At 40.0% G+C, this 27,098-nt stretch overlaps 1 protein-coding gene across 5 annotated transcripts in view; it reads right to left on the bottom strand.

The window, feature by feature from the left end:
• HYAL4 (hyaluronidase 4) overlaps window positions 1-27,098 on the bottom strand; it is a 113,774-nt gene that overhangs the window by 7,559 nt on the left and 79,117 nt on the right. For 2 of the 5 annotated variants that reach the window (XM_047420094.1, XM_024446703.1), the window contains exons 1-2: window positions 21,765-22,189; window positions 696-1,700 (exon numbers count right to left, since the gene is read on the bottom strand). In XM_047420094.1, coding sequence (XP_047276050.1) covers window positions 696-1,649 — 954 coding nt within the window. In that variant the 5' untranslated portion in view covers window positions 1,650-1,700; window positions 21,765-22,189. Of the gene's footprint in view, window positions 1-695; window positions 1,701-21,764; window positions 22,190-23,046; window positions 23,640-24,237; window positions 25,679-27,098 lie in introns of those variants that run through there. The other 3 variants (XM_047420093.1, NM_012269.3, XM_011515990.2) reach the window with 3 other exon arrangements.

Below are 27,098 nucleotides of genomic sequence, written 5' to 3'. Positions count from 1 at the left end.
AGGTCAGGAGTTCAAGGCCAGCCTGTCCAACATGGTGAAACCCCGTCTTTACTAAAAGTACAAAAATTAGCTGGGTGGGGGGGGGTGAGCACCTGTAAACCCAGCTACTTGGGAGGCTGAGGCAGGAGAATCGCTTGAACCCAGGAGGTGGGGGGTGCAGTGAGCCGAGATTGCATCATTACACTCCAGCCTAGGTGACAAGAACAAAAAACTCCATCTTGAAGAAAAAAAAAAAACAAAACAAAGATTAAAATACCCACTACTTTCCCTAGAATTTTTTTGTTTAAGTGGCTAGACAATTCTGCTTCCACATGTATGAGCAAACACTCCATTTCAAAACATCCTTTTTGATTGTCTAACCTGCTCACTGCCGATCATTTCAATAACCTTCCAAAATGCCCGATTGTAAGTGAGTACAGTTAAAGTTGGTGTGCAGGAAATGTAGTCGTTGCTGGTATCTACTTTAACCCTTTCTCACCTTACTTTGTTCCTTAAGAGAATAATAATGAGTAAGATAATCAAAATTCAGTTTCCATAAATGAAGAGTCTAAATGCATGACTAGTCAAGGAAGAATTATGCTCCCATATAACAAACCATTAATTGAAATCAATTCTTCAAAGAACATAATTAACAAAGAAATGTCCTTTTAGAGATAAGGAGGAAATCCCCCACCATTGGACAAGAAGCTTCTTACCTTAGAAAGGAAAAATAAAGGTTCATCTCTGTACCCTAGCCTTGTGTAGACAAATACAGGCAGAGCATAATCATGAGATGTCATGGTGGAGATCCTCATGGATTCATGCACCCGAAATTTGGAGAAGCGCAAAATGTTTTCACTGTCTCCAAGGGATTTCCAGACACCGATAGAAGGATATAAAGCAGCACTGCTGTTCCAGAGCCAAGAGAGCTCATTGTTCCTCAAGACTTCGTCTTCTGGGCATGACCCAGAGTAGTTTGGGGCATAAACGTTATAATTGTGGCAATCAGGATATAAATAATAACCCCAAAGGCCTTTGGGTCGGCTCTTAATTCCCAATTTGATGGTTTCCTTCATGAAAGCTTTTGCACTTTCTTCAAAGGTCACTTTGGCTAAATATTCAATATCGGTAGCTGATACATTCTTTCCCATATCGGAAATAAGCTTTCTTGACTTCTGTCTGTAAACATCTTTTGAGTTCCAGTTCCGGGCCCACTGTGGTCGCCAATATTCCCAATCTATAACAGCAAGTCCACTGAAATCTTCAGCAGGGATGTAATAATTAATATCTTGGTCAGCTTTTTCCAGATGTACTTGTAAACTTATGTTCTGTGGGAGACCTCCATTAATGGGGACCCCTTGTGATGTATACCACGGATAGTATCCCAATCTGTTGACATAAAATATAGTGACATTTTGCCCCCTGGCCTTGGCCAGTGGGCTTCCAATCACAGGAAACATTTTCAAATTTAGTCTTAAATTATATTTTATCAAACACTGATCTGTTGGAGCATTCCAAGCAGCTATAAAAGGTTTCCTTTGATAAATTGGAAGTCGAGCAGGTTTTAGACAAGAGATAGACTTTAGAATAAAAAATATAAGGAGCCATGAAGTGAGATGTACTGGTTGAACAACACAAAGCTTTAACTGTCCTTCAGATAATACTTTCATGGTAAGATAAAAATGTTACGTTATCTTCTGCTTTAGTGCACTCTAGAAGACCTGTGGAGAGATTTAATTTTCTGTTAGTCATAGTTTTGAGGAAAAAGACTCAAATAATAAATAGATATTATTATTATATATGACTATTTGTAAAGTGTATCACTTAAAGGTCTCAAAGAGGCCTATAAATAAATTGAGATATAGAAGCATATGTAGAGACCTAGCTTCTATTCAGGGGCAGGAAATGCAATTCAACAAACATTCATGGAGCACCAGACCCCATGTCCAGAAAACAAAATGAATAAGATGTAGTCCTTGCCTTTAAGGAGTTCATGATCAGATAAAGATGTGAAATAATATTTACCATCATTTTGCAAAACTCATCAAATCCCAGGCATTGTGCTTAACTGCTTTGTAAATATTTTTTTTAAACTTGTAATAACTACATAAGGCTTATAATTACATTTCCATTTTACAAATGGGGAAACTGAGGCTTAGAGAGATGAAAAGGCTTGCCTGATGTCACTTTATATGGAAGGCAAGGTGATGTAAAATTTAAATAATAAAAATGCATAACAAGTACTACATGATAATTTATTGGAGCAATTACTTCTTGGAGTAAGCAGTAGGTAGGAATGGAAAGGAAAGTGATTTGAGTGGCAAGAAATTAAAACCAGCCCAACTATCCCAAAGAATAGATGTTTTGGGTTTCTTCTGAATAAACTTAGAAATTGACCCTCCCAGGGTAAAACTTAAGAAAGTTATATTTGTCTTATCTGGGTTCCTTTCTCGGTAAACCAACCATCAAGCCTCCCAGAATGTTTCAAGGAACTGAAACTTACCAGATTATCACATCTAAACAATGAGACACCAGATGCCTCACTCATCATGATTGCCTAACTGACCACTTGCCTGTTGACCAAGTCCTCTTTCTTACCCTTCCTTAATTCCTGTTTTCCCACACATAGTTACTTTTCTTCCCTACTTTATAGACCCCAAATTTTAGTTGCTTGGGGAGATGGATTCCAGACTGATCCTTTATTCTCCTTGGCTGCAGCACCCAAATAAGGCCTTCTTCCCCAGCAATACTCCTTGACTCAGTGATTGGCTTTCTCTGCAGCAAGCAACAGGACCTAGACCAAACCCCTGGTGTAACAGAATGTCTCAGGGAAGACACTGGAGTTAAAAGAGAAGATAGAGCCAGGCAGGGTGGCTCACGCCTATAATCCCAGCACTTTGGTGAGGCCGAGATGGTCACAAGGTCAAGAGATCAAGACCATCCTGGCCAACATGGGGAAACCCCATCTCTACCAAAAATACAAAAATTAGCTTGGCGTGGTGGCACATGCCTGTAGTCCCAGCTACTGAGGAGGCTGAGGCAGGAGAATCGCTTCAACCTGGGAGGTGGCGGTTGCAGTGAACCAAGATCACACCACTGCCCTCCAGCCTGGCAACAGAGCGAGACTCAGTCTCAAAAAAAAAAAAAAAAAAAAGAGAGAGAAAGAGAAGATAGGTAGGTGTTTGGATAGTAGAAGAGGGAAGACGATAGTGGCTACTTTGTCAAGTTATTTTTTAGTCATCTCTTTGTAAAACTACTATGAAATTATTTTTGTAAAAGCTCATCAAAGGGTTTGATGGCATAAAACGTTTGCAGTCTTGTGTGTCATTAAGATGAAAATGCATTGTGGTTATGCCTGATGCCTAGTGAGATTAAGGTGTCCAGTAGACATTTGTCCTTTGGCTGTGTGCTCCGGATACAGACCCCTTTCCTCAGTAGTCAATTCTGCACCATAAGTATCTTGGAAGGCAAAGCCCATATTTCATTAAATAAGCCAAAATGTCCCAGCCTTCCTTGCAGGTTTGGTATTGGTCTATGACTGTCGTCAGTCCAATTAGATGCATCCTAATCTAGGCTTTGAATTTGGATATTGAGATTCAAGGAGGCTGAGGTGACATTGCCAGTGGTGACGTAAATTCCAGTGTCAAGGAGCAGCAAGCTGGGGCATCCAGATTCTGAACCTGATGCCCATAATGTTACTGTTAAGTGGAGATATTGTCCTCAAGGGACACCGCCTTTCTGCTCAAGTAAGCAAGGTTTGTTTTGGTTGCTTACAACCAGGAACTCTGATTTATAGAGAAGTGATATGGTTTGGCTGTGTCTCCAGCCAAATCTCATCTTGAATTGTAGCTCCCCTATTCTCCCTGTCATAGGAGGGACGTGGTGGCAGGTAATTGTATCACAAGGGCGAGATTTCCCATGCTGTTCTTGTGATAATGAATAAGTCTCATGCCATCTGATGGTTTTATAAAGGGTGGTTCCCCTGAGCATGCTCTCTTGCCAGCCACCATGTAAGATGTGATTTTGCTCCTCCTTCACCTTCTGCCATGATTGTGAGGGGTCCCCAACCATGTGGATCTGTGAGTCCATTAACTCTCTTTTTCTTTATAAATTACCCAGTCTCAGGAATGTTTTCATTAGCAGTGTGAGAATGGACCAATACAAGGTGCTTTTGTGGCTTGTAGTAAAGCCTGTGCTACATGTTGTGTGTAATTATCACGTCTAACCACCAGGTGTCACCAGCCAAACCTCATGGTATTTCTCAGGCCTTGGACACTGCTGTAAAAAAATTTTAAGTAATTCACAAAACTTCCTCCAAAGACATTTAAGAAGGCCTAAGTAAATGGATAAACACAAAACACCAGTATTTAGGAGCTATAGAGGTAGATATTTTCATTTATTGAATATACTCCTCCATGCACAAAGCTGAATAAGATTACCCCACTTAGTAGCATGAAATATATCATACTGTAGCTCTAAATTATGATTTGAAGAGAATAGTATTTTCAAGGGAATCTAATTTTATGAGTAAGAAAAATTGTGGTACTCAAAACTTCCCCTTCTCTTTGATTTTTTATTATATTTTGCCTCCAGGTAAGAAAAATAGATTTACATATGCATTCATTAATAGAAGGGGGAAGAAGCTTTTCTTTAAATTTAAAATTGAGTTACATTAGAAAAGACTATATTTGTGTACCAAAAAAAGAAAAATCTACCCTGCCAGATACTTCCTGCTTTGGTCTCATTCAAAACATAGTTTTCCACTGACTATTGTTTCCCCTTTGGTCGGCTCCCTCATCACCACCATAGAACATCCTGGTTCATTTATTACAAAGTTACCAAGTGATTCTCTTCTCCTATCTTGGAATGTTATTATTGTTCTCAGTGTCTCAGGGAAGACACTGTAGTTGAAAGAGAACTGGTGAACTGTTTGTTCTGGTGAACTGGAGGTGCACCTTACATGGCAGATGGTAGACATAGCTCCTGATAAAATGTGTGGGTGCACGACCAAAAAAGACAAAATAAATAAGTAAAATCCTGTGCCCGTGTCTTCTGCTTGCTGTATGTCAGGTTTCTGCTTCCTATACAGCCAGGTCAGGGCACTGGTGTGCCCTCCTAGTTAAATATGGCTTGTTGGGAGGAGATCCCCTCACGTGACCCCTCTCAGACACTGTTTTCCCTTCCCTGTCCCACCATGCAATCTCTGTTTCTCTTGTCCTTCCTTCACCAAGGAACCTCCCCAAGCCTGCCCTTCCAAAAGTGCCCTTTGCTTCAGAGCTTCCCTAGACCTCTTTCCCTCACCCCACCTATGCCATTAAAATCCCCACCGCTGAGCTCTGCCTTATCTTGACTAGTTCTTGTAGCATAGCAACCTGTGCAATTATCCACAGTTAACCATATCACCAGCAATAGCAACCTTCCTTTTCTTTCTCCCTTCCCCCTTCCATAATCCGCCTAGGCAAATGTGCTCCTGTAAACAAACCTCTAAATGACAATGTTTAGAAAGAGTTAGCAAGATATTGGAGGTAGAAGTGAATGAGGAATTTAACCTGGACTTGTCCCTTAAATTTTAATGCCCAGGTTTCTCTCCTTAGAAGTAAGGTCTGTTCTGGGAATATATAGGAAGGACTAGTTCCTTTCCTTCAACAAGGAAACTTCTGTGAAGACATTTTAAAGGCCCCTGAACAAATGATTTTCAATGAAATGACATACTCATTAAAGCCATAGGTAAAGGGAAGTAGCTTTCTCCTGACCCCTCCTCTAGTAGAAGGAAGTGAGGAAGGTTTAGCTGCTACTATGTTGACCTTGGTTTCATAGTTCTAATCTTCTTACCCTGACCAGAGACAAATGTGGCAAAAGCAGCAAACAGACAGGGCCTATTTCAGGTCGGCTCAAGCACCTCACCTCATCACTGCCCCTTCCTCCTGACAGTGAAGGAGACAGTGAAGAAGGTGGCAGGAGGGATGTTCTTTTGAGGGAGACAGGACCACCATGTACAGCTACAAGAGTCTGCAAAAAAGCCTCTATCTCCTATCCCCTACTTATTCCTATCTCCCTTCTCACTCCTTCCCCAAAGAAGCTTACTTGCTTGTGATAAATTAAAAGAAAAAAAAGAGCAACCCTTGGCATTCAGAAACTGTGAGTACTACACTCACAGCTAGGCTGCATAATGCTTCTCTTAAACAATGTCACAGAATACCAGTCTGGACAAGTTTACTCTCAGACCATAATAAAATGAGACAAAGCCAGGCCACTTTTAAATATTGTCTAAGATCAGAAAAGAAGGTCACTGTGCAACCCACAAAATACCAAACATCCCTCTCTCTTGCTGAATGAATGACTGCTATTCTTTACCCAATCACAGGAACGCCTCTGCTTTCTGACAACATCTAATCTAGAGAAAATCCCTGCCTTCTTAGACTCTTCACCAAGTCACTCAGCCAAAACCTAAATCATATGATAGTTTCCTCCTAATACCCTCTTACTGAGACACCCCATGGCTTCCCATGGTGTGCACCCTCCCTTCCCACAATAACTGATAAAGTAAACTAATTTAACTGCAGGTGTGCTCCTGGTGGTCTTTGGAACACTGACATTGTATGATGAAGGCAGAGGCACTTAGTGTTCATTCTTATAAGAATTCAGAAAATGTTTATTGAGCATCTTCTATGTACCAGGCTCCCTTCTAAGTATTAACAATACAATAGTGAGCAAAACAAACAAGAGCCTCTGCCCTCACTGAGTTTAAATTCTTGTAGGGGAGGGAGATAATAAATAAGAACAGTAAATAAATATTCAGTATGTTGCAAATTATGATAACAAAGAAAAATAAATAAGGCAGGATTTGTTCCTAGATGGTAACAAGCCTCACTGATCCCAAGGATAAGAGGAGTCAGCCTGGAGGATGTCTGGGGAAGTATGAGGGAAAGCAGGTGCAAAGGCCCTGTGGCAGAGCATGTCTGCTGTCTCTAAAGACCTTTGAAGAGGTCAGTGACTAGGTAAAAGGAGCCAGAGAAGAAAGAGTGAGGGTCTTGTTGGGGCTTATAGGTACTCAGGCTTTCACTGTAAATGAGATGGGAAAGATGTGGTGGGCTTTGAAAGAAGAATGACATTGTCTGCCATGGGCTTAACTGGATTCCTCTGGCTGCTGTGTTGAGGCAAGCCTTTAAGGGAAAAGACACAAGAGAGAAGCAGGAAGACTATAAAAAGCTCTTGCAATAATCTAAGACAGAAATGAGAGCAGTTCAAACCAGTTATTTATGAGACCATAATATTTTAAATAATCACCACAAAGGAAAAGGATATTATAAATCAATAAATTAATTGCACTAATTTGTTTTCATTTTGATTGCAACTCTAAGTGCCTGTTCTCAAACACCCAGTGCGATGTTTTTTAACTTTACACAGCATGGTGATCCACACTGATCTTTACGATTAGAGTGAATGCTCTGGAAAAGTTTTTCAAAGCATATACTCCCTTCTTAATATTCAGGTATTAGTGAAACGAGTTGATTTTCCAAATCTACATGTCTTCTATTTCTTTTTTCATGATATTGGGGTTCTGTTTTAAAAACCTTTAAGATGCCAAGTGTCTGCTCCTAAAACCGTGAGAGTTTGAAGAGATATCCTGAAGGTCATGGTCCCTAAGGAATTTAATAAATGCACTGTTTTATTTCCAAGCCCTTAAGGAAAGTACTGACCAAAGTGATATTTTGTTGCCAATGATGAAAAATATATATACTCATATATATTTATCAGACTGAGAGACAGAGCAGAACCATCAAGTTCAAAGCTATGTGCTCAATTTCGCAGAACTAATTGCCAACCTATTTTCTAATAAAAGCTTATTAGAGCAACAGCCAATAATAGGCATCTATTTTTTTCTCTGATGAACTTTTTCTCTTTTGAAACATCAATGCTCTGCAAGCTGGCTCTTTAGTATTCCAGCAGAAAAAGCAAAATATTTTAATGTTAGAGGTTTCTCAATTAAGTATTTTTCATACATTTTTCTTAAAAACTTGTTGCCTATGGGTTTATAATATAATCTACTCTATAACAGTATTTCATTAAGGCCCATAATTCATCATTAGATACTGAATTTTATGATAACTATTTTATGTTATTATCAAAGAACACAGTGTCCCTCCATCTGAACTAATTTTAGAACTCCTATACTATCTTGATTGTATAAAATTGTTTCCTTTCCAGTCTTCTTAAATATAGGCTTAAGTTTTGTAAATATGTGAAAATGACTATTTCAGTGTCACTTTTGCTAATGGTAAATTCACTATATTATTCAGTCTGAAAGGCCTCGTTTTTAATGAAGCAAGCAAATTTTGCAGTTTTAAGAAATACAATCTGAAAGAGGTTTAAATTATCTCTGTATTAAAGTATACACTTGGTCTTTGTCTAAGTATTACTCCTCTTTTAGGACTTGAAATTTCTTACAGCCAAGATCAACAGATTTCTTGGAAAAGCACACTAAGTCTTAGGATCACATTTTTAATAGAATGTTCCCTCTGTCAACCTGTTTTTAACTAAGTTCCTTAAGATAACATTAAGTTGATTTATGTCTTCAGGTTTTTAATTAAAGTTGTTGAACTAAAAAGCCATCCAGTGGTCTGCGAAATGTTATTTAAGTCTTTCCAATGTCCATAGTCAAGATTACAACTTAAAATACTTCCCTCCCCATAAAAATGACCCAAGCCATTGATTAGGAGTGTTGGGATACTAGTTGGGGTTATCAGACAGAAACTAGAGATGGGGAGCTGAGTCCCCAACCTCAGGCCTGAGGACCAGAACAATATTTAAGCAGGAGAGAGTTGGATCCCAGTTCCCTAGATCCTAGCTCTCAATGTTAAGAGTACAAGAGTGGAGAGGAAAGGCAAACATTTGAGAGGTCAAAAGCTGTAGCCAGATCACATTGTCTTGTCTCTGGTAAACATGGCTTAATTTCAAATTTTGCCTCAGTCCTGAATGGAGTGGCTTAAAAACTAGGGTTCCCCTGGCTTTACAAATGGCAACCTATCATCTATCTCTCTGTACAAGCATATATATTTTAGCAGGATAAGAAATTTGAGCAAGGTGAAATGTGCAGGGGTTGACTCCAACCTGAATGAAGAAAGAGTACATTCCTAGTGGAAACAGAAGACTGGAAATTTCTATCTGAATTATCAATGAATAAAACCTTTCACCAAGAAATTCTGCTTCTATGTAATTCATTGTAGCACTTCTTATAATTAGGAAGACAAAATTAATGTCTTCCTAATTCTTATAATTAGGACAACAAAATAAATGTCTACTATAAGGCAAAGGCCACATAAGACATGGCCTCGTATACAGTGGAATGCTATGCACCTATAACAAAGAATGAGGTTTCTTCTACATATTGATAAGGACATTGACCAGATATTAAAATAGTCTTTAAAATATGTATTTGTTTTACATGTGTGTCTGTACACAAGCTACAAATTTTAATAAAGTGTGTATAGATTGTTGCCATTTTTCAAAGAAAGGAATATATGCATACATATATATACACACACACATACACATACACACACAAATTACATATGTACACAGTATAATAATTTGTGTACTGAGGAATATCTCTGGAGCTATATTAGTCTGTTCTCACACTGCTATAAGGAAATACCTGAGACTGGGTAATTTATAAAGGAAAGAGGTTTAATTTACTCACAGTTCCCTATGGCAGGGGAAGCCTCAGGAAACTTACAATCATGGCAGAAGGCAAAGGGAAATTAAGTGCCTTCTTCACAAGGTGGCAGGAAAGAGAAGTGTTATGAAGGAGGAACTTCCAAACACTTATAAAACCATCAGATCTTGTGAGAACTCATGCATTATCAGGAGAACAGCATGGGGGAAACTGCTTGCATAATCTGATCACTTCCCTCCCTCCACACATGGGGATTACAGGTCCCTCCCACAACATATGGGATGATAATTTGAGATGAGATTTGGGTGGGGATACAGAGCCAAACCATATCAGGAGGGATACTCAAAAAAGGTTATATTGCTTGCTTCCAGGGAAGAGAACAGGGTGGCTAAGTGAGAGAAGTGAGCATGGGTGAGATTTATTTGAGAAGGAAGTTCTGTTGGAATTTTGTAATATGTTGCTGTAACAGCTAACTCAAAACCATCAATCTGATTTTAAAAACTCAAAGTTCTTTGGATATATAAGAGAAGATGCAAATCGATTCTGACTACAGTATAAGGAATCAAGTTTTCCTAAAGAAAGTTACATCTCACTTGCATTTTGTTATGAAGATCATTTTTATAATTTTATTTGAGAAATTGTATGCTCATCTGCAATCTGACAAGAACATCCCTTTTCAGGAAATAAGAATGATTTTTTTTAATGGAAATGAACACTATCAGCCAGAGCTTTAAGTTAAGGCTCTATTCTGACATTTGATTATTAAAAGCTAATTATTGATTGGTTACTATCTATGGTAAAAGAAAATTAACAGTGGTTAATGGTTTAGGAGGTGTTCGGTAGGAACACTGATGATAAGCTTGAAGAAACTGATTAGTATTATTATTCTCCACAAAATGTAATGCACAATACCGGTGAATTATTTAATACTAGTGGAAAAATATACTTTACAGTAATAGGCCTTCTCTGATTGTAAACAAGGCAAAACTCTAGTTACAACAGATAAAAGTATGTGGAGAAATTGGATATGAAAAAATGATTGTTCTTTCTTTTTTATCTTTGACTATATATTAGTTTTGGTGATTTATTCAGCCTAATTTTAAATAACTCAGGAAGCTAGATTGCTTGTTAACTTCTTCAGCATCAGATAACTTTTTTCCTTGGATTTTCTTCAATTCCATTTTATTTCATCACCCATACCTTTTTGATGAAGACTAACTTCTGACCTTATTTTTTATTCTTCAATGTCTATGGCATTGTTTTTATTTCTTTTTATTCTTCCCCACACTTTTCTAAATCCTTCTCAAATCTGATTGCTTTCTTTGAATTACGTCCAACTACCCTGGTGTGTTTACAACACAAAATACCTCAGTGCAATATAACAGAAGTCAGTAAGAGTGCAGGTTAAAATCTTACACTCTGGAGCCAGTTACCATAAACAGCACACTAGAAGAAGTTTCATTATTTTTCCTATTCAATTTTTATTTCTATTGTTTTAACTTGCCTTCCCAGAATATCACAATACTGTCTTTAGGGGCAGAGGAGTGCAATGATAATAGTAATGGCATGTTGTATATCTAAACATAGTATTGATGTCTATTCTGTTCTTATCAACTAAAGTCTCAACTTTTGAAAATTATATTTATGAACTAGAACTTAAATTCTAATTTATAAATATGGGAGAGGATCTTGCACACTACCCTTTCCCCATTCCTCTCTGCACTCTTGCCTTTCTCTGTTTGACATTTTCACATAAGACAGATCTTCTAACCTAGACAGCAATCCTACCATATGGCTCAATGGACGTCTTATGTCCACTATGTGCTGACTACCACATATTTGATTAAGTCATGCCTGAGTTTGTAACGCCTTTTGGCATTGCACCTAATGTTTTCTACCTAAAATATCTCTGTCAATCTTCGTTAAACTTGACTATGAGATTTCAAGCCCATCAAATTAAGCAATCTGAGTAGATTTTGGCTTATAAAGAGCTGGTTGGATTATGTCTGTATATAATTTTCTTCACTTTTTGGTTTACATCTTACATGGTTGCTACACATACATTTCTTTTGTTTGTTTGTTTTTGAGATAGAGATAGGCTGAAGTGTAGTGGCACAATATCAGCTCACTACAACCTCGACCTCCTGGGCTCAAGCAATTCTCCCACCTCAGCCTCCTGAGTAGCTGGGACTACAAGTGTGTGCCACCATGCCAAAGTTAATTTTTATATTTTGGCAGAGACAGGGTTTTACCATGTTGCCCAGGCTGGTCTCGAACTCCTGAGCTCAAGTGATCCACTTGCCTCAGCCTCCCAAAGTGCTGGGATTACAGGAGTGAGCCACCACACTTGATCTACATAGACATTCCATATCTCCATTTAAGAGCCTAGTTTTCCACTTCAAGTACACCTTCTGGATAAATGATGATGTTCTTGATGTTGCAACTGAATTGTGCCAATCAGCCTGATCATTACCAGGTTTAAATAACAAATAGTACATGTTATGTGACCAACTGAATTATGTTTTGTTTCTATTGAAAGAAAGAAAGAAAGAAAGAAAGAAAGAAAGAAAGAAAGAAAGAAAGAAAGAAAGAAAGAAACAAACAAAGAAAGAAACAAAGAAAGGCAGCTGGCAAGATGGCCCAATAGCAACAGCTCTGGTCTGCAGCTCCCAGTGAGATCAATGCAGAATGAGGGTGATTTCTGCATTTCCAACTGAAGTACCTGGCTCATCTCATTGGGACTGGTTAGACAGTGGGTTCAACCCATGGAGGGCAAGCAGAAGCAGGGTGGGGCATCACCTCACTTAGGAAGCACAAGGGGTTGGAGAATTCCCTCCCCTACCCAAGGGAAGCCATGAGGGACTGTGTGGTGAGAGACAGTGCTATCCAGCCCAGCTGCTATGCTTTTCCCATGGTCTTCGCAACCTGCAGACCAGGAGATTCCCTCAGGTGCCTACACTATCAGGGTCCTGGGTTTCAAGCACAAAACTGGCAGCCATTTCAGCAGACACCAAGCTAGCTCCAGGAGGTTTTTTTGTACCCCAGTGGCACCTGGAACACCAATGAGACAGAACCATTCACTCCCCTGGAAAGGGGGTGAAGACAGGGAGCCAAGTGGTCTAACTCAACGGATCCCACCTCCACGGAGCCCAGCAAGCTAAGATCCATTGGCTTGAAATTCTTGCTGCCAGCACAGCAATCTGAAGTCAACCTGGGATGCTCGAGCTTGGTGAGGGAGGGGCGTCCACCATTACCCAGGCTTGAGTAGGCGGTTTTCCCCTCAAAGTGTAAACAAAGCCACTGGGAAGTTCGAAATGGGTGGAATCCACCACAGCTCGGCAAAGCCACTGTAGCCAAACTGCCTCTCTAGATTCCTCCTCTCTGGGCAGGGCATCACTGAAAGAAAGGCAGCAGCCCCAGTCAGGGGCTTATAGATAAAACTCCCATTGCCCTAGGACAGAGCAACTAGGGGAAGGGGTGGCTGTGGGCACAGCTTCAGCAGACTTAAATGTTCCTGCCTGCTGGCTCTGAAGAGAGCAGTGGATCTCCCAGCACAGTGATCAAGCTCTGCTAAGGGACAGACTGCCTCCTCGAATGGGTCCCTCACCCCCATGCCTCCTAACAGGGACAGCTCCCAGCAGGGGTCAGCAGACATACAGGAGAGCTCTGGCTGGCATCTGGCAGGTGCCCTTTGGGATAAAGCTTCCAGAGGAAGGAGCAGGCAGCAATCTTTGCTGTTCTGCAGCCTCCTAGTGATACCAGGCAAACAGGGTCTGGAGTGGACCTCCAGGAAACTCCAGCAGACCTGCAGAAGAGGGACCTGACTGTTAGAAGGAAAACTAAAACACAGAAAGCAATAACATCAACATCAACAAAAAGGACACCCATGCAAAAACCCCATCCAAAGGTCACCAACATCAAAGATCACAGGTAGATAAATCCATGAAGATGAGGAAAAACCAGTGCAAAAATGCTGAAAATTACAAAAACCAAAATGCCTCCAAAGTATAACAACTTCTCACCAGCAAGGGAACAAAACTGGATGGAGAGTAAGGCTGATGAACTGACAGAAGTAGGCTTCAGAAGGTGGGTAATAACAAACTCCTCTGAGCTAAAAGAGCATGTTCTAATCTAATGCAAGGAACCTAAGAACCTTGATAAAAGGTTACAGGAACTGCTAAGTAGGATAACAAGTTTAGAGAAGAACATAAATGACTTGATGGAGCTGAAAAACACAGCACAAGAACTTCATGAAGCATACACAAGTATCAATAGCCAAATCAATCAAGCAGAAGAAAGGATATCAGAGATTGAAGATCAACTGAATGAAATAAAGTGTGAAGACAAGATTAGAGAAAAAAGAATGAAAAGGAACAAACAAAGCCTCCAACAAATATGGGACTATGTGAAAAGACCAAACCTATGTTTGATTGGTTTACCTGAAAGTGATGGGGAGAAGGGAACCAAGCTGGAAAACACACTTCAGGATATTATCCAGGAGAACTTCCCCAACCAAGCAAGGCAGGCCAACATTCAAATTCAGGAAATACAGAAACCACCACAAAGATACTCCTCGAGAAGAGCAACCCCAAGACACATAATTGTCAGATTACCCAAGGTTAAAATGAAGGAAAAAATGTTAAGGGCAGCCAGAGAGAAAGGTCAGGTTACCCACAAAGGGAAGTCCATCAGACTAACAGTAGATCTCTTGGCAGAAACCCTACAAGCCAGAAGAAAGTGGGGGCCAATATCAACATTCTTAAGAAAAGAATTTTCAACCCAGAATTTTATATCCAGCCCAACTAAGCTTCAAAGAGAAGGAGAAATAAAATCCTTTAAAACAAGCAAACGCTGAGGGATTTTGTTACCATCAGGCCTGCCTTACAAGAGCTCCTGAAGGAAGCAAAACGTATGGAAAGGAAAAATGGTACCCGCCACTGCAAAAACATACCAAAATGTAAAGACCATCAACACTGTGAAGAAAATGCATTGACCAGTGGGCAAAATAACCAGCTAGCATCATAATAACAGGATCAAATTCACACATAAAAATATTAACCTTAAATGTAAACAAGCTAAATTCCCCAATTAAAAAACACAGCCTGGCAAATTGGATGAAGAGTCAAGTCCCATTGGTGTGCTGTATTCAGGAGAACCATCACACGTGTAAAGACACATATAAGTTCAAAATAAAGGAATGGAGGAATAAGCAAAAAAGGCAGGGGTTGCATTCCTAGTCTCTGATAAAACAGACTTTAAACCAACAAAGATCAAAAGAGACAAGGAAGGCCATTACATAATGGTAAAGGGATCAATTCAACAAGAAGAGCTAACTGTCCTAAATATATATGCACCCAATACAGGAGCACCCAGATTCATAAAGCAAATTCTTAGAGACTTACAAAGAGACATAGACTCCCACACAATAATAGTGGGATACTTTAACACCCCTCTGTCAATATTAGACAGATCAACGAGACAGAAAATTAACAAGGATATTCTGGACTTAAACTCAGCTCTGGACCAAGTAGACCTAATAGACATCTACAAAACTCTCCACCCAAAATCAACAGAATATACATTCTTCTCAGTACCACATAGCACTTATTCTTAAATTGACCACATAATTGGAAGTAAAACATTCCTCAGCAAATGCAAAAGAACATAAATCATAAGAAACAGTCTCTCAGACCACAGTCCAATCAAATTAGAACTCAGGATTAAGAAACTCATTCAAAACCACACAACTACGTGGGAACTGAACAACCTCCTCCTGAATGAATTCTGGGTAAATAATGAAATGAAGGCAGAAATAAATAAGTTCTTTGAAACCAATGAGAACAAAGACACAATGTACCAGATCTCTGGGACACAGTGAAAGCAGTGTTTAGAGGGAAATTTATAGCACTAAATGCCCACATCAGAAACAGTAAGGATCTAAAACCGACACCCTAACATCACAATTAAAAGAACTAGAGAAACAAGAACAAACAAATTCAAAAGCTAGAAGAAGACAAGAAATAATTAAGACCAGAACAGAACTGAAGGAAATAGAGACATGAAAAACCTTTCAAAAACACAATGAATCCAAGAGCTGGTTCTTTGAAAAGGTTAGCAAAATAGACTGCTAGCCAGACTAATAAAGAAGAAAAGAGAGAAGAATCAAATAGACACAATAAAAAATGATAAAGGGAGTATCACCACTGATCCCACAGAAATACAAACTACCATCAGAAAATACTATAAACACCTCTATGCAAATAAAGTAGAAATCTAGAAGAAACAGATACATTCCTGGAAACATACACCCTCCCAAGACTAAACCAGGAAGAAGTCAAATCCCTGAATAGACTAATAACAAGTTCTGAAATTGAGGCAGAAATTACTAGCCTACCAACCAAAAAAAGCCCAGGACCAGAAGGATTCACATCCGAATTCTACCAGAGGTACAAAGAGGAGCTGGTACCATTCCTTCAGAAATTATTCCAAACCATAGAAAAACAGGGAATCCTCCCTAACTCATTTTATGAGGCCAGCATCATCCTGATATCAAAACCTGCCAGAGACACAACAACAACAACAAATTTCAGGCCAATATCCCTGATGAACATAGATGCAAAAACTCTCAATAAAATACTGGCAAACTGAATCCAGCAGCACATCAAAAAGCCTATCTACCACAATCAAGTTGGCTTCATCCCTGAGATGCAAGAGTGGTTCAACATATGCAAATCAATAAACGTAATCCATACATCAACAGAACCAATGACAAAAACCACATGATTATCTCAATAGATGCCGAAAAGGCCTTCAATAAAATTCAACACCTCTTCATGCTAAAAACAATAAACTGGTATTAATGGAATGTATCTCAATACAATAAGAGCTATTTATGACAAACCCACAGCCAATATCATACTGAATGGGCAAAAGCTGGAAGCATTCCCTTTGAAAAGCAGCACAAGACTAGGATGCCCTCTCTTACCACTCCTATTCAACACAGTATTGGAAGTTCTGGCTAGGGCAATCAGGCAAGAGAAAGAAATAAAGAGCATTCACATAGGAAGAGAGGAAGTCAAATTGTCTCTGTTTGCAGGTGACATGACTGTATAGAAAACCCCATCATCTCAGTCCAAAATCTCCTTAAGCTGATAAGCAACTTAAGCAAAGTCTCAGGATACAAAATCAATGTGCAAAAACCACAAGCATTCCTATACACCAATGATAGACCAACGGAGAGCCAAATCATGAATGAACTCCTATTCACAATTGCTACAAAGAGAATAAAATACCTAGGAATCCAATTTACAAAGGATGTGAAGGACCTCTTCAAGGAGAACTACAAACCACTGTCAAGGAAATAAGGGAGGACACAAACAAATGGAAAAATATTCCATGCTTGTGGAAAAGAAGAATCAATATCATGAAAATGGCCATACTGCCCAAGGTAATTTATAGATTCAATGCTATTCCCATCAAGTTACTATTGACTTTCTTCACAGAAGTAGAAAAAACTACTTTAAATTTCATATGGAACCAAAAAAGAGCCTGTATAGCCAAGACAATCCTAAGCAAAAAGAACAAAGCTGGAGGCATCACACTACCTGACTTCAAACTATACTATAAGGCTACAGTAACCAAAACAGCATGGTACTGGTACCAAAACAAATATATAGACCAATGGAAGAGAACAGAGGCCTCAGAAATAACACCACATGTACAACCATCTAATTTTTGACAAACCTGACAAAAACAAGCAAGGGGAAAAGGATTCCCTATTTAATAAATGGTGCTGGGAAAACTGGCTAGCCATATGCAGAAAACTGAAACTAGACCCCTTCCTTACACCTTATACAAAAAATAACTCAAGATGGATTAAAGACTTAAACCTAAGACCTAAAACCATAAAAACCCTAGAAGAAAACCTAGGCATTACCATTCAGGACATAGGCATGGGAAAAGACTTCATGGCTGAAACACCAAAAGCAATGGCAACAAAAGCCAAAATTGACAAATGGGATCTAATTAAACTAAAGACCTTCTGCACAGCAAAAGAAACTATCATCAGAGTGAACAGGCAACCTACAGAATGAGAGAAAATTTTTGCAATCTACCCATCTGACAAAAGGTTAATATCCAGAATCTACAAGGAACTTAACAAATTTATAAGATAAAAACAAACAACCCCATCAAAAAGTGGGCAACTGATATAATCAGAAACTTCTCAAAAGGTGACATTTATGTGGCCAACAAAGATGAAAAAAAGCTCATCATCACTGGTCATTAGAGAAATGCAAATCAAAACTACAATGAGATACCATCTCACACCAGTTAGGATGGCAATCATTAAAAAGTCAGGAAACAACAGATGCTTCAGAGAATGTGGAGAAATAGGAACGCTTTTACACTGTTGGTGGGAATGTAAATTAGTTGAACCACTGTGGAAGACAGTGTGGCAATTCCTCAAGGATCTAGAACCAGAAATACCACTTGACCCAGCAATCCCATTACTGGGTGTATACCTAAAGGATTATAAATCATTCTACTATAAAGACACATCCACAAGTGTTCACTGCAGCACTATTCACAACAGCAGAGACTTGGAAACAACCCAAATGCCCATCAATGATAGACTGGATCAAGAAAATGTGGCACATATACACCATGGAATACTATGCAGCCATAAAAAAGAATGAGTTCATGTCCTTTGCGGGGACATGAATGAAGCTAGAAACCATCATTCTCAGCACACTAACACAGGAAGAGAAAACCAAACACCGCATGTTCTCACTCGTAAGTGGGAGTCGAACAATGAGAACACATGGACACAGGGAGGGGAACATCACACACACGGGCTGTCAGGGGGCAGAGGGCTAGGGGAGGGACAGCATTGGGAGAAATACCTAATGTAGATGACAGGTGGATTGGTGCAGCAGACCACCATGACACATGTATAGCTACGTAACAAACCCACACATTCTGCAGATGTATCCCAGAACTTAAAGTATAATTTAAAAAAACTTTGTTGAAACATCAAATGTAATATTTAACTAATCATTAATTTGCATGTATTTTTTAAAAGATCATTAAATAATTTGTTGTCTACTTTGGTTTCCCATTCACATGGTGTGAGAACTGTGTTGCACTTGGATCTTAGTAAAGTAAGTTGCGTTCCTACATTAATTCATAGCAACATACATTAACCATAAATGTGAAGAAATACTTTTTCATACAAATATTTTTTAATTCTTTAAAAATAAGTTTATTTGTCCAAGACTGCTAATTGCATGCAGTCTAATTACACAAACCTTATAACTTCAAAATGTTTCACAATAGATTTTGATTTCCAGATGTAATCTTGAGAGAATTTCCTAATACAATAAGGAAATTTGGAAATGTTCCAATCATAGATTTTGGGTTAGACTAAGGATGCAATAAGGTCGTTCTGGAATTCTCTTGACAAAGGCAGGAGGAACTCCAGCCTAGGATTGTAGCCAGTTCTTCAACCACCCAATATAGTGTATCAAAGAAATATTGCTCCTCGAAGAATGAGATTTAGATTTTTCACATATTCATGATAAGACAGAGCACAGGATTCATGCATTTGGGCCTATTATGAACATTAGGCCCATGCTTAGTACTTAGGTAAAGAGACTTCGGTCTGTGAACAAAACAACTACAGGTTGTTCTTGTTAGAAATTCACAGTATCTGTAATTCTATTATAAGTAGAGTCGCACGGTGGCTCAAGACTGTAATCCCAGTACTTTGGGAGGCCGAGGAGGAGGACCGCTTGAGCCCAAGAGTTAGAGACCAGCTTGAGCAACATGGCAAAACCCTGTCTTTACAAAAAATACAAAAAATTAGCCGGCTGGTGGTGCGTTCCTGTGGTTCCAGATACTCAGGAGGCTGAAGTGGGAGGATCATCTGAGCCCAGGAGTTCAAGGCTGCAGTGAGCAGTGATCATGCCACTGCACTCCATCCTGAGTGACAGAGTGAGACCCTGTCTCAACAACAGCAACAAAAATCTAAGTATTCATATTTCAACAAGAGCTCTTCTTTCCATCCTCAAACTGAATTCTAATTTACAAGCAAGGCTGAAATAAATCGTGTGACTAAGCTTTCTTAGCTATTGCTACAATTGTATTGCATTTATCAGTACAATAAGTATCTCAAGTAACAATGATTCTAACATGTGTCACACTTATTGGAAGAATTCCCAAAGCTTTGAAACAAACAGGTAAATCCAGTGTCACTCTAATTCTACCTGATTGGTATGTAAGAGGGTTGCATGCTACTATGTAAGATAAAACATATGAGAAATATAGAAACATGTTTCTACATAGAAATATAGAAAGTTTTGTATAAACAGGTGAAATAGAGAATCAAGTTTTTTGTTATTTGTGAGAGAGTCTGGCTCCATCGTTCAGGCTGGAATGCAGTGATGCGATCTCGGTCCACTGCAATCTCCGCCTCCTGTGTTCAAGCAATTCTCCTGCCTCAGCCTCCTGAGTAGCTGGGACTACAGGCACGCTCCACCATACCCTGCAGAGAACCAAGTATTATGAAGATGATTCAAGTCAGCATGTCTATGAAGGAACAAAAATTTTGTCTTAAAAGGTTTCTCTTTTGTTTGTTTATGTATATTGTTTTAAAAAAGAAAGCCTGGGCCAGTTGCAGTGGCTCACACCTGTAATCCTAGCACTTTGGGAGGCCAAAATGGTCCAATCACTTGAGGCCAGGAGTTCAAGACCAGCCTGGCCAATATGATGAAACCCTGTCTGTACCAAAAAATACAAAAATTAGCCAGACGTGGTGGTGGGTGCCTGTAATCCCAGCTACTTAGGAGGCTGAGGCAGAAGAATCACTTGAACCCAGGAGGCAGAAGTTGCAGTGAGCCAAGATCGCGCCGATGCACTCCAGCTTGGGTGACAGAGAGACCCTGTCTCAAAGAGAGAGAGAAAGAGAAAGAGAGAGAGAGAGGGAGAGAGAGAGAGAGAGAGACTGTACATTAGTTATTCAGGTACTCCAGGATCTAGAGATAACAAGTTTTATTATCTCATAATTTTTCAAATTTTCACTTTATATACATACATACAGTCACATACATAGTCACTAAAGTAAACAGCATTTTCCCCATCATTATTAAATTTCTCAACTTTAAGATTTCTCTTTAACAGGTTGAATGATTTAAGATTTACCTTCCTTATACTGTTTTGGTACTTGTTCCTTCTTTTCTGGAAAATCTAAATCTATCCATATGTACATATATGTATATGTTTATTTATTTATCCTCTCCCCAATTACTAAGATTTTTCTTTTTTGAAATGTCAGATGACTGTTATCTCTAAATATTCAGTCACTTTAACAATATTTGGAAAGAAAATGTACGACCCAGTTTTACAACCAAAAATCATCCACTTTCTGAGCCCTTTTAAATGTTGCATGCTTCCTAAAATCTGCAATACTTATTCCAACAAACAGTCCTCTTGTATTGACCATCATGGTAAGTATAACTATAAAATTAGGTATGAAAAACATGTTTCATTAAAGATGGTGCAAAAGTAAAATCTTTGTCAAAATACGCACTAATACTCTAATGGAAAACATTTATGTTTATAAAGTTAGCTTGAGGAGTGCTTTACATCTATTGATTCAAAAGAATATTAAAGTTGTGGCTGTCTCATGAAGTCATGTGTTCCTATGGCTTGTTTGTAGTTAATTTACTAACCTGCTTCATGGAATACATTTTGATGCTATCACAAGTTAAGGTTAGTAATGCAATCACAGAAACTATGTGCACAAGAAAAATGAAGAAAGCCTTGAGTAGTCATTAAAGTGGGAATTATTTTCAAATGTAGATTTATAATAAATAAAAAGTTAACTGAAATTTAGCTCGTAACTATCAGTGACAAATGTGTATTTTAGGCTGCTTGGTTCATAAAAACAAACTCATATTTCAAAAGGTAATGCATTTGAAAATTAAGTAAAGTTAGGCTGCAAAAGAAATTGAGTATTCCAAGAAATTAATATTGGCTTTTTTCTAACTCCTCAAATTTCTAAAAACAATTTTTAAAATTTTTACAAACAGGAAAAAAAAGTCTATTTTACCTTTGCTTTTGTTTGCTGCTGGTCCTTTAGTCACCTTGTGCAAATCAGAGGTTGAATGGCAAAGGATGTCCTGTGCGTGGTTCAGACAAACATGTTATTACAGGGGTGACTCAGTCCTCCAAGTTAAACTGGAGGCTTGCATTAAATCTCTTTATAACCAAAGTCAGTTCTCTTAAAAGCATCTTAGTATACATGACCATTGCTTTCTGAAAATACCCAGTTTAAATTCACTAACTTAAGATGGAAGAAAGAAAACTTTGACTCTTTAGCTGGAAAATAAGGAAGAAAAGAAAACTGTATATGTAAGACTTCCAGAATAAAGAGAAAAAAGGGGGTCAAGTGCTTTGTGTACTAAAGCATGTATTATTATTATTATTATTTTAGACGGAGTCTCACTTCGTTATCTAGGCTAGAGTGGAGTGGAACAATCTCAGCTCACGGCAACCTCCACCTGCCAGGTTCAAGTGATTCTCCTGTCTCAGCCTCCCAAGTAGCTGGGACTACAGGCGTATGCCACCATACCCAGCTAATTTTTTTGTATTTTCAGTAGAGACGGGGTTTCACCGTGTTAGCCAGGATGGTCTTGATCTCCTGATCTTGTGATCCACCTGACTGGGCCTCCCAAAGTGCTGGGATTACAGGCGTAAACCACCGCTCCAGGCCTAAAGCATGTATTATTAAAAAAATAGATCCTAATGTGCTATTCTTAATGATAATGGAATCGTTGAATAGAGTATTAGGTATCATCCTGAGTAAATACAACATGAATTTACTAGAACTAATGGCTCAAGATGGTGAGCTGAACATGTGTATTTATTTACTGTGTCATTTTCAGCACCTAGGATTAGAAAAAATACACTATAAAGCTGAAAATGAAAAGGGATAACATGACTCAAAGACTGAAAACAACTAAAAGTATATCTCAGAAATTTTTTAAAAGTAGAAAGACAAAAACAAACAAAAACCATAGTAGAAAGTTATTCTAGGAAATCATGGCAGACAAGAGGCAGGACTAGACTGCAGCTCTCACGTGGACAGACAGAGCAATGTATGGAGACTCACGTTGTGAACTTTTGCTCCAGAACTACTGCAGAAATTAACCAGGAAAGCTGAGAGCACTCACAGACCATCTGAAGGAAGCGGAATGCTCCTAGAGGACCCAGGAGACACCCCAAATAGAGCCCAAGCTGTGGAAGTGGGAAATGGAGATTGTCTGCCCCAAACACACACCCTCAATGGGGAACCTGAAGGTCTAGATCATGGGAGAAGATTCTGACCTTACCTTAAGCTGGGTCGATTCAGAGAGCTGAGTGAAATACAGGGATAGAGGAAGCAGCAAGAAAAGCCCTGTGGACTCTCTGAGTCCCCTGGGAAGCTATTTCTGCCTTGTCTCATAGGAGTCCTTGGGGAGGGCTGCCAGAGGTATTTGGAAAAGACCACAGGGAAAAGGAAACCTCCAGCTGAACTTTGTAACAATTCCAACAGAACCTGAAGTTTCCTGTCCAGACCTCAGGGGAGGGTGTGAATCTGGTATGCAGACTCCACAGGCAGGGAGGCAGGAAAGCCCCGTTTGCTTTCACAGCTAGGAGGCTGGTAGTCTGGGGCAAGTTCTCAGTCTTGCTTGCCCACTGCTTGGAAACAGACTCGGTGCTGTTTGAGAGGGCAAGGTGGGAGTGAGACTGGCCTTTTGGGTTGTATGAGAGCTGGGTGAGGCCTGTGACTGCCAGCTTTCCCTCACTCCCCTGACAACCTGCATGACACAGCAGAGGCAACCCTAATCCTCCTGGGAATATAACACCATTGGCCTGGGAACAACACCCCCATCCACCACAGCAGCTGCCACCAAGACCAACCCAAGGAGAGTCTGAACTCACACATGCCTAGCCCTGCCCCCCTGATGGTCCTTCCCTACCCACCCTGGCAGCTGAAGACAAAGGGCATATACTTTTGGGAATTCTAGGGCCCTGCCCACTGCCTGATGCCCCTATGCTACTACAGCTGATGCTCTCTTCAAAGTGCCACCTCCTGGCAGGAGGCCAATACAAAAATAGTGCATTAAGCAACCAAAACTAAGGACCTTCACAGAGTCCATTCCACCCTGCTGCCACCTCCACCAGAGCAGGTGCTGGTATCCATGGCTGAGAGACCTGCAGATGGTTTACATCACAGGACTCTGTGCAGACAACCCTCAGTGCCAGCCTGAAGCCTGGCAGACCAGCTAGGTGGCTAGATACAGAAGAGAGATAACAATCACTACCACTCAGCTCTCTGGAAACCACATCCATAGGAAAAGGGGGAGAATACTACAGCAAGAGAACACCCCGTGGGTCAAAAAATCTGAATAGCAGCCTTGAGCCCTATACCATCCCTCTGACATAGCCTACCCAAGTGAGAAGGAACCAGAAAAACAATTCTGGTAATATGACAAAACAACTTTCTTTAACATCCCCCCCAAAAAATTACACTAGCTCACCAGCAATGGCTCCAAACCAAGAAGAAATTCCTGATTTTCCTAAAAAAGAATTCAGAAGGTCAGTTATTAAGCTAAACAAGGAGGCATCAGAAAAATGTGAAGTCCAATTTAAGGAAATTTAAAAAAAATGACTCAAGAAATGAGAGGCGGAATCTTCAGTGAAATAGATGGCATAAATAGCAAGGCACGGTGGCTCACCCCTGTAACCCAACATTTTGGGAGGCTGAGGCAGGCAGATCACTTGAGGTCAGGAATGCAAAACCATTCTGGCCAATATGGTGAAACCCCATCTCTACTAAAAATACAAAAATTAGCTGGGCATGATGGCATGCTCTTGTAGTCCCAGCTACTCAGGAGGTTAAGTCAGGAGAATCACTTGAACCCAGGAGGCAGTGGTTGCAGTGAGCCGAGATCACACCACTACACTCTAGCCTGGGCAACAGAGTAAGACTTCATCTCAAAAAAAAAAAAAAAAAAAAAAAAGGAAAAGAAATAGATAGCATAAATAAAATAAAGAACTATTGAAACTGGAAGATGGCCAAATAGGAACAGCTCCAGTCTGCAACTCCCAGCATGATCGACGCAGAAGACGGGTGATTTCTGCATTTCCAACTGAGGTACCTGGTTCATCTCACTGGGACTGGTTGGACAGTGGGTGCAGTCCAAGGAGGGCGAGCTGAAGCAGGCGGGGGCATCGCCTCACCCAGGAAGTGTAAGAGATTGGGGGATTTCCCTTTCCTAGCTAAGGTAAGCCGTGACAGACTACCTGGAAAAACAGGACACTCCCACCAAAATAGTGCTTTTCCCAAGGACTTAGCAACCAGTAGACAAGGTGATTCCCGTGCCTGGCTCGGTGGGTCCCACGCCCACAGAGCCTTGCTCACTCCTAGCACAGCAGTCTGAGATTGAACTGTGAGGCAGCAGCCTGGCTGAGGGAGGGGTGTCCGCCATTGCTGAGGCTTGAGTAGGTAAACAAAGCAGCTAGGAAACTCGAACTGGGTGGAGCCCACCACAGCTCAACAAGGCCTACTGCCTCTAGACTCCATCTCTGTGGGCAGGACATAGCTCAAAAAAAGGCAGCAGACAACTTCTGCAGACTTAAACGTCTCTGTCTGACAGCTCTGAAGAGAGCAGTGGTTCTCCCAGCACCGCGTTTGAGCTCTGAGAAAGGACAGATTGCCTCCTCAAGTGAGTCCCTGATGCCCGTGTAGCCTATCTGGGAGACACCTCCCAGTAGAGGTGGACAGACAACTCATATAGGCGGCTGCCCTCTGGGACGAAGCTTCCAGAGAAAGGATCAGGCAGCAATATTTGTTGTTCAGCAATATTTGCTCTTCTGCAATACTTGCGGTTCTGCAGCCTCCGCTGGTGATACCCAGGTAAACAAGGTCTGGAATGGACCTCCAGCAAACTCCAACAGACCTGCAGCTGAGGGACCTGACTGTTAGAAGGAAAACAAAAAGAAAGGAATAGCATCAACATCAACAAAAAGGTCATCTACACCAAAACCCCATCTGTAGGTCACCAACATCAAAGACCAAAGGTAGATATAACCACAAAGATGGGGAGAAACCAGAGCAGAAAAGCTGAAAATTCTAAAAATCAGAATGCCTTTTCTCCTCCAAAGGATCGCAGCTCCTCACCAGCAATGGAACAAAGCTGGATGGAGAATAACTTTGATGAGTTGACAGAAGTAGGTTTCAGAAGGTCAGTAATAACAAACTTCTCTGAGCTAAAGAAGGGTGTTTGAATCCATTGCAAGGAAGCTAAAAACCTTGAAAAAAGATTAGATGAATGGCTAACTAGAATAAACAGTGTGGAGAAGACCTTAAATGACCTGATGGAGCTGAAAACCATGGCACAAGAACTTCATGACGGATGCACAAGATTCAATAGCCAATTCGATCAAGCGGAAGAAAGGGTATCAGTGATTGAAGATCAAATTAGTGAAATAAAGCAAGGAGACAAGGTTACAGAAAAAGAATAAAAAGAAATGAAAAAGCCTCCAAGAAATATGGGACTATGTGAAAAGACCAAATGTATGTTTGATTGGTATACCTGAAAGTGATGGGGAGAATGGAACCAAGTTGGAAAACAGTCTTCGGGATATTATCCAGGAGAACTTCCCCAACACAGCAAGGCAGGCCAACATTCAAATTCAGGAAATACAGAGAACAGCACAGATACTCCTCGAGAAGAGCAACCCCAAGACACATAATTGTCAGATTCACCAAGGTTGAAATGAAGGAAAAAGTGTTAAGAGCAGCCAGAGAGAAAGGTCGAGTTACCAACAAAGGGAAGCCCATTAGACTAACAGCAGATCTTTCAGCAGAAATGCTACAAGCCAGAAGAGAGTGGAGGCCAATATTCAACATTCTTAAAGAAAAGAATTTTCAACCCAGAATTTCATATCCAGCCAAACTAAGCTTCATAAGTGAAGGAGAAATAAAATACTTTACAGACAAGCAAATGCTGGGAGATTTTGTCAGGACCAGGCCTGCCTTACAAGAACTCCTGAAGGAAGCACTAAACATGGAAAGAAACAACCGGCACCAGCCACTGCAAAAACATGCCAAATTGTAAAGACCATCGATGCTATGAAGAAACTGCATCAATCAACGGGCAAAATAACAAGCTAACATCATAATGACAGGCTCAAATTCACTCATAACAATATTAACCTTAAATGTAAATAGACTAAATGCCCCAATTAAAAGACACAGACTGGCAAATTGGATAAATAGTCAAGACCCATCAGTATGCTGTATTCAGGAGACCCATCTCACGTGCAAAGACACACATAGGCTCAAAATAAAGGGATAGAGGAGGATCTACCAAGCAAAAGGAAAACAAAAAAAAGG

Source organism: Homo sapiens, chromosome 7 (genome assembly GCF_000001405.40).
Source record: "Homo sapiens chromosome 7, GRCh38.p14 Primary Assembly".
NCBI lineage: Eukaryota > Metazoa > Chordata > Mammalia > Primates > Hominidae > Homo > Homo sapiens.
Note: the sequence above shows the minus strand (reverse complement) of the source record. Positions and strands in the feature narration are given on the sequence as shown.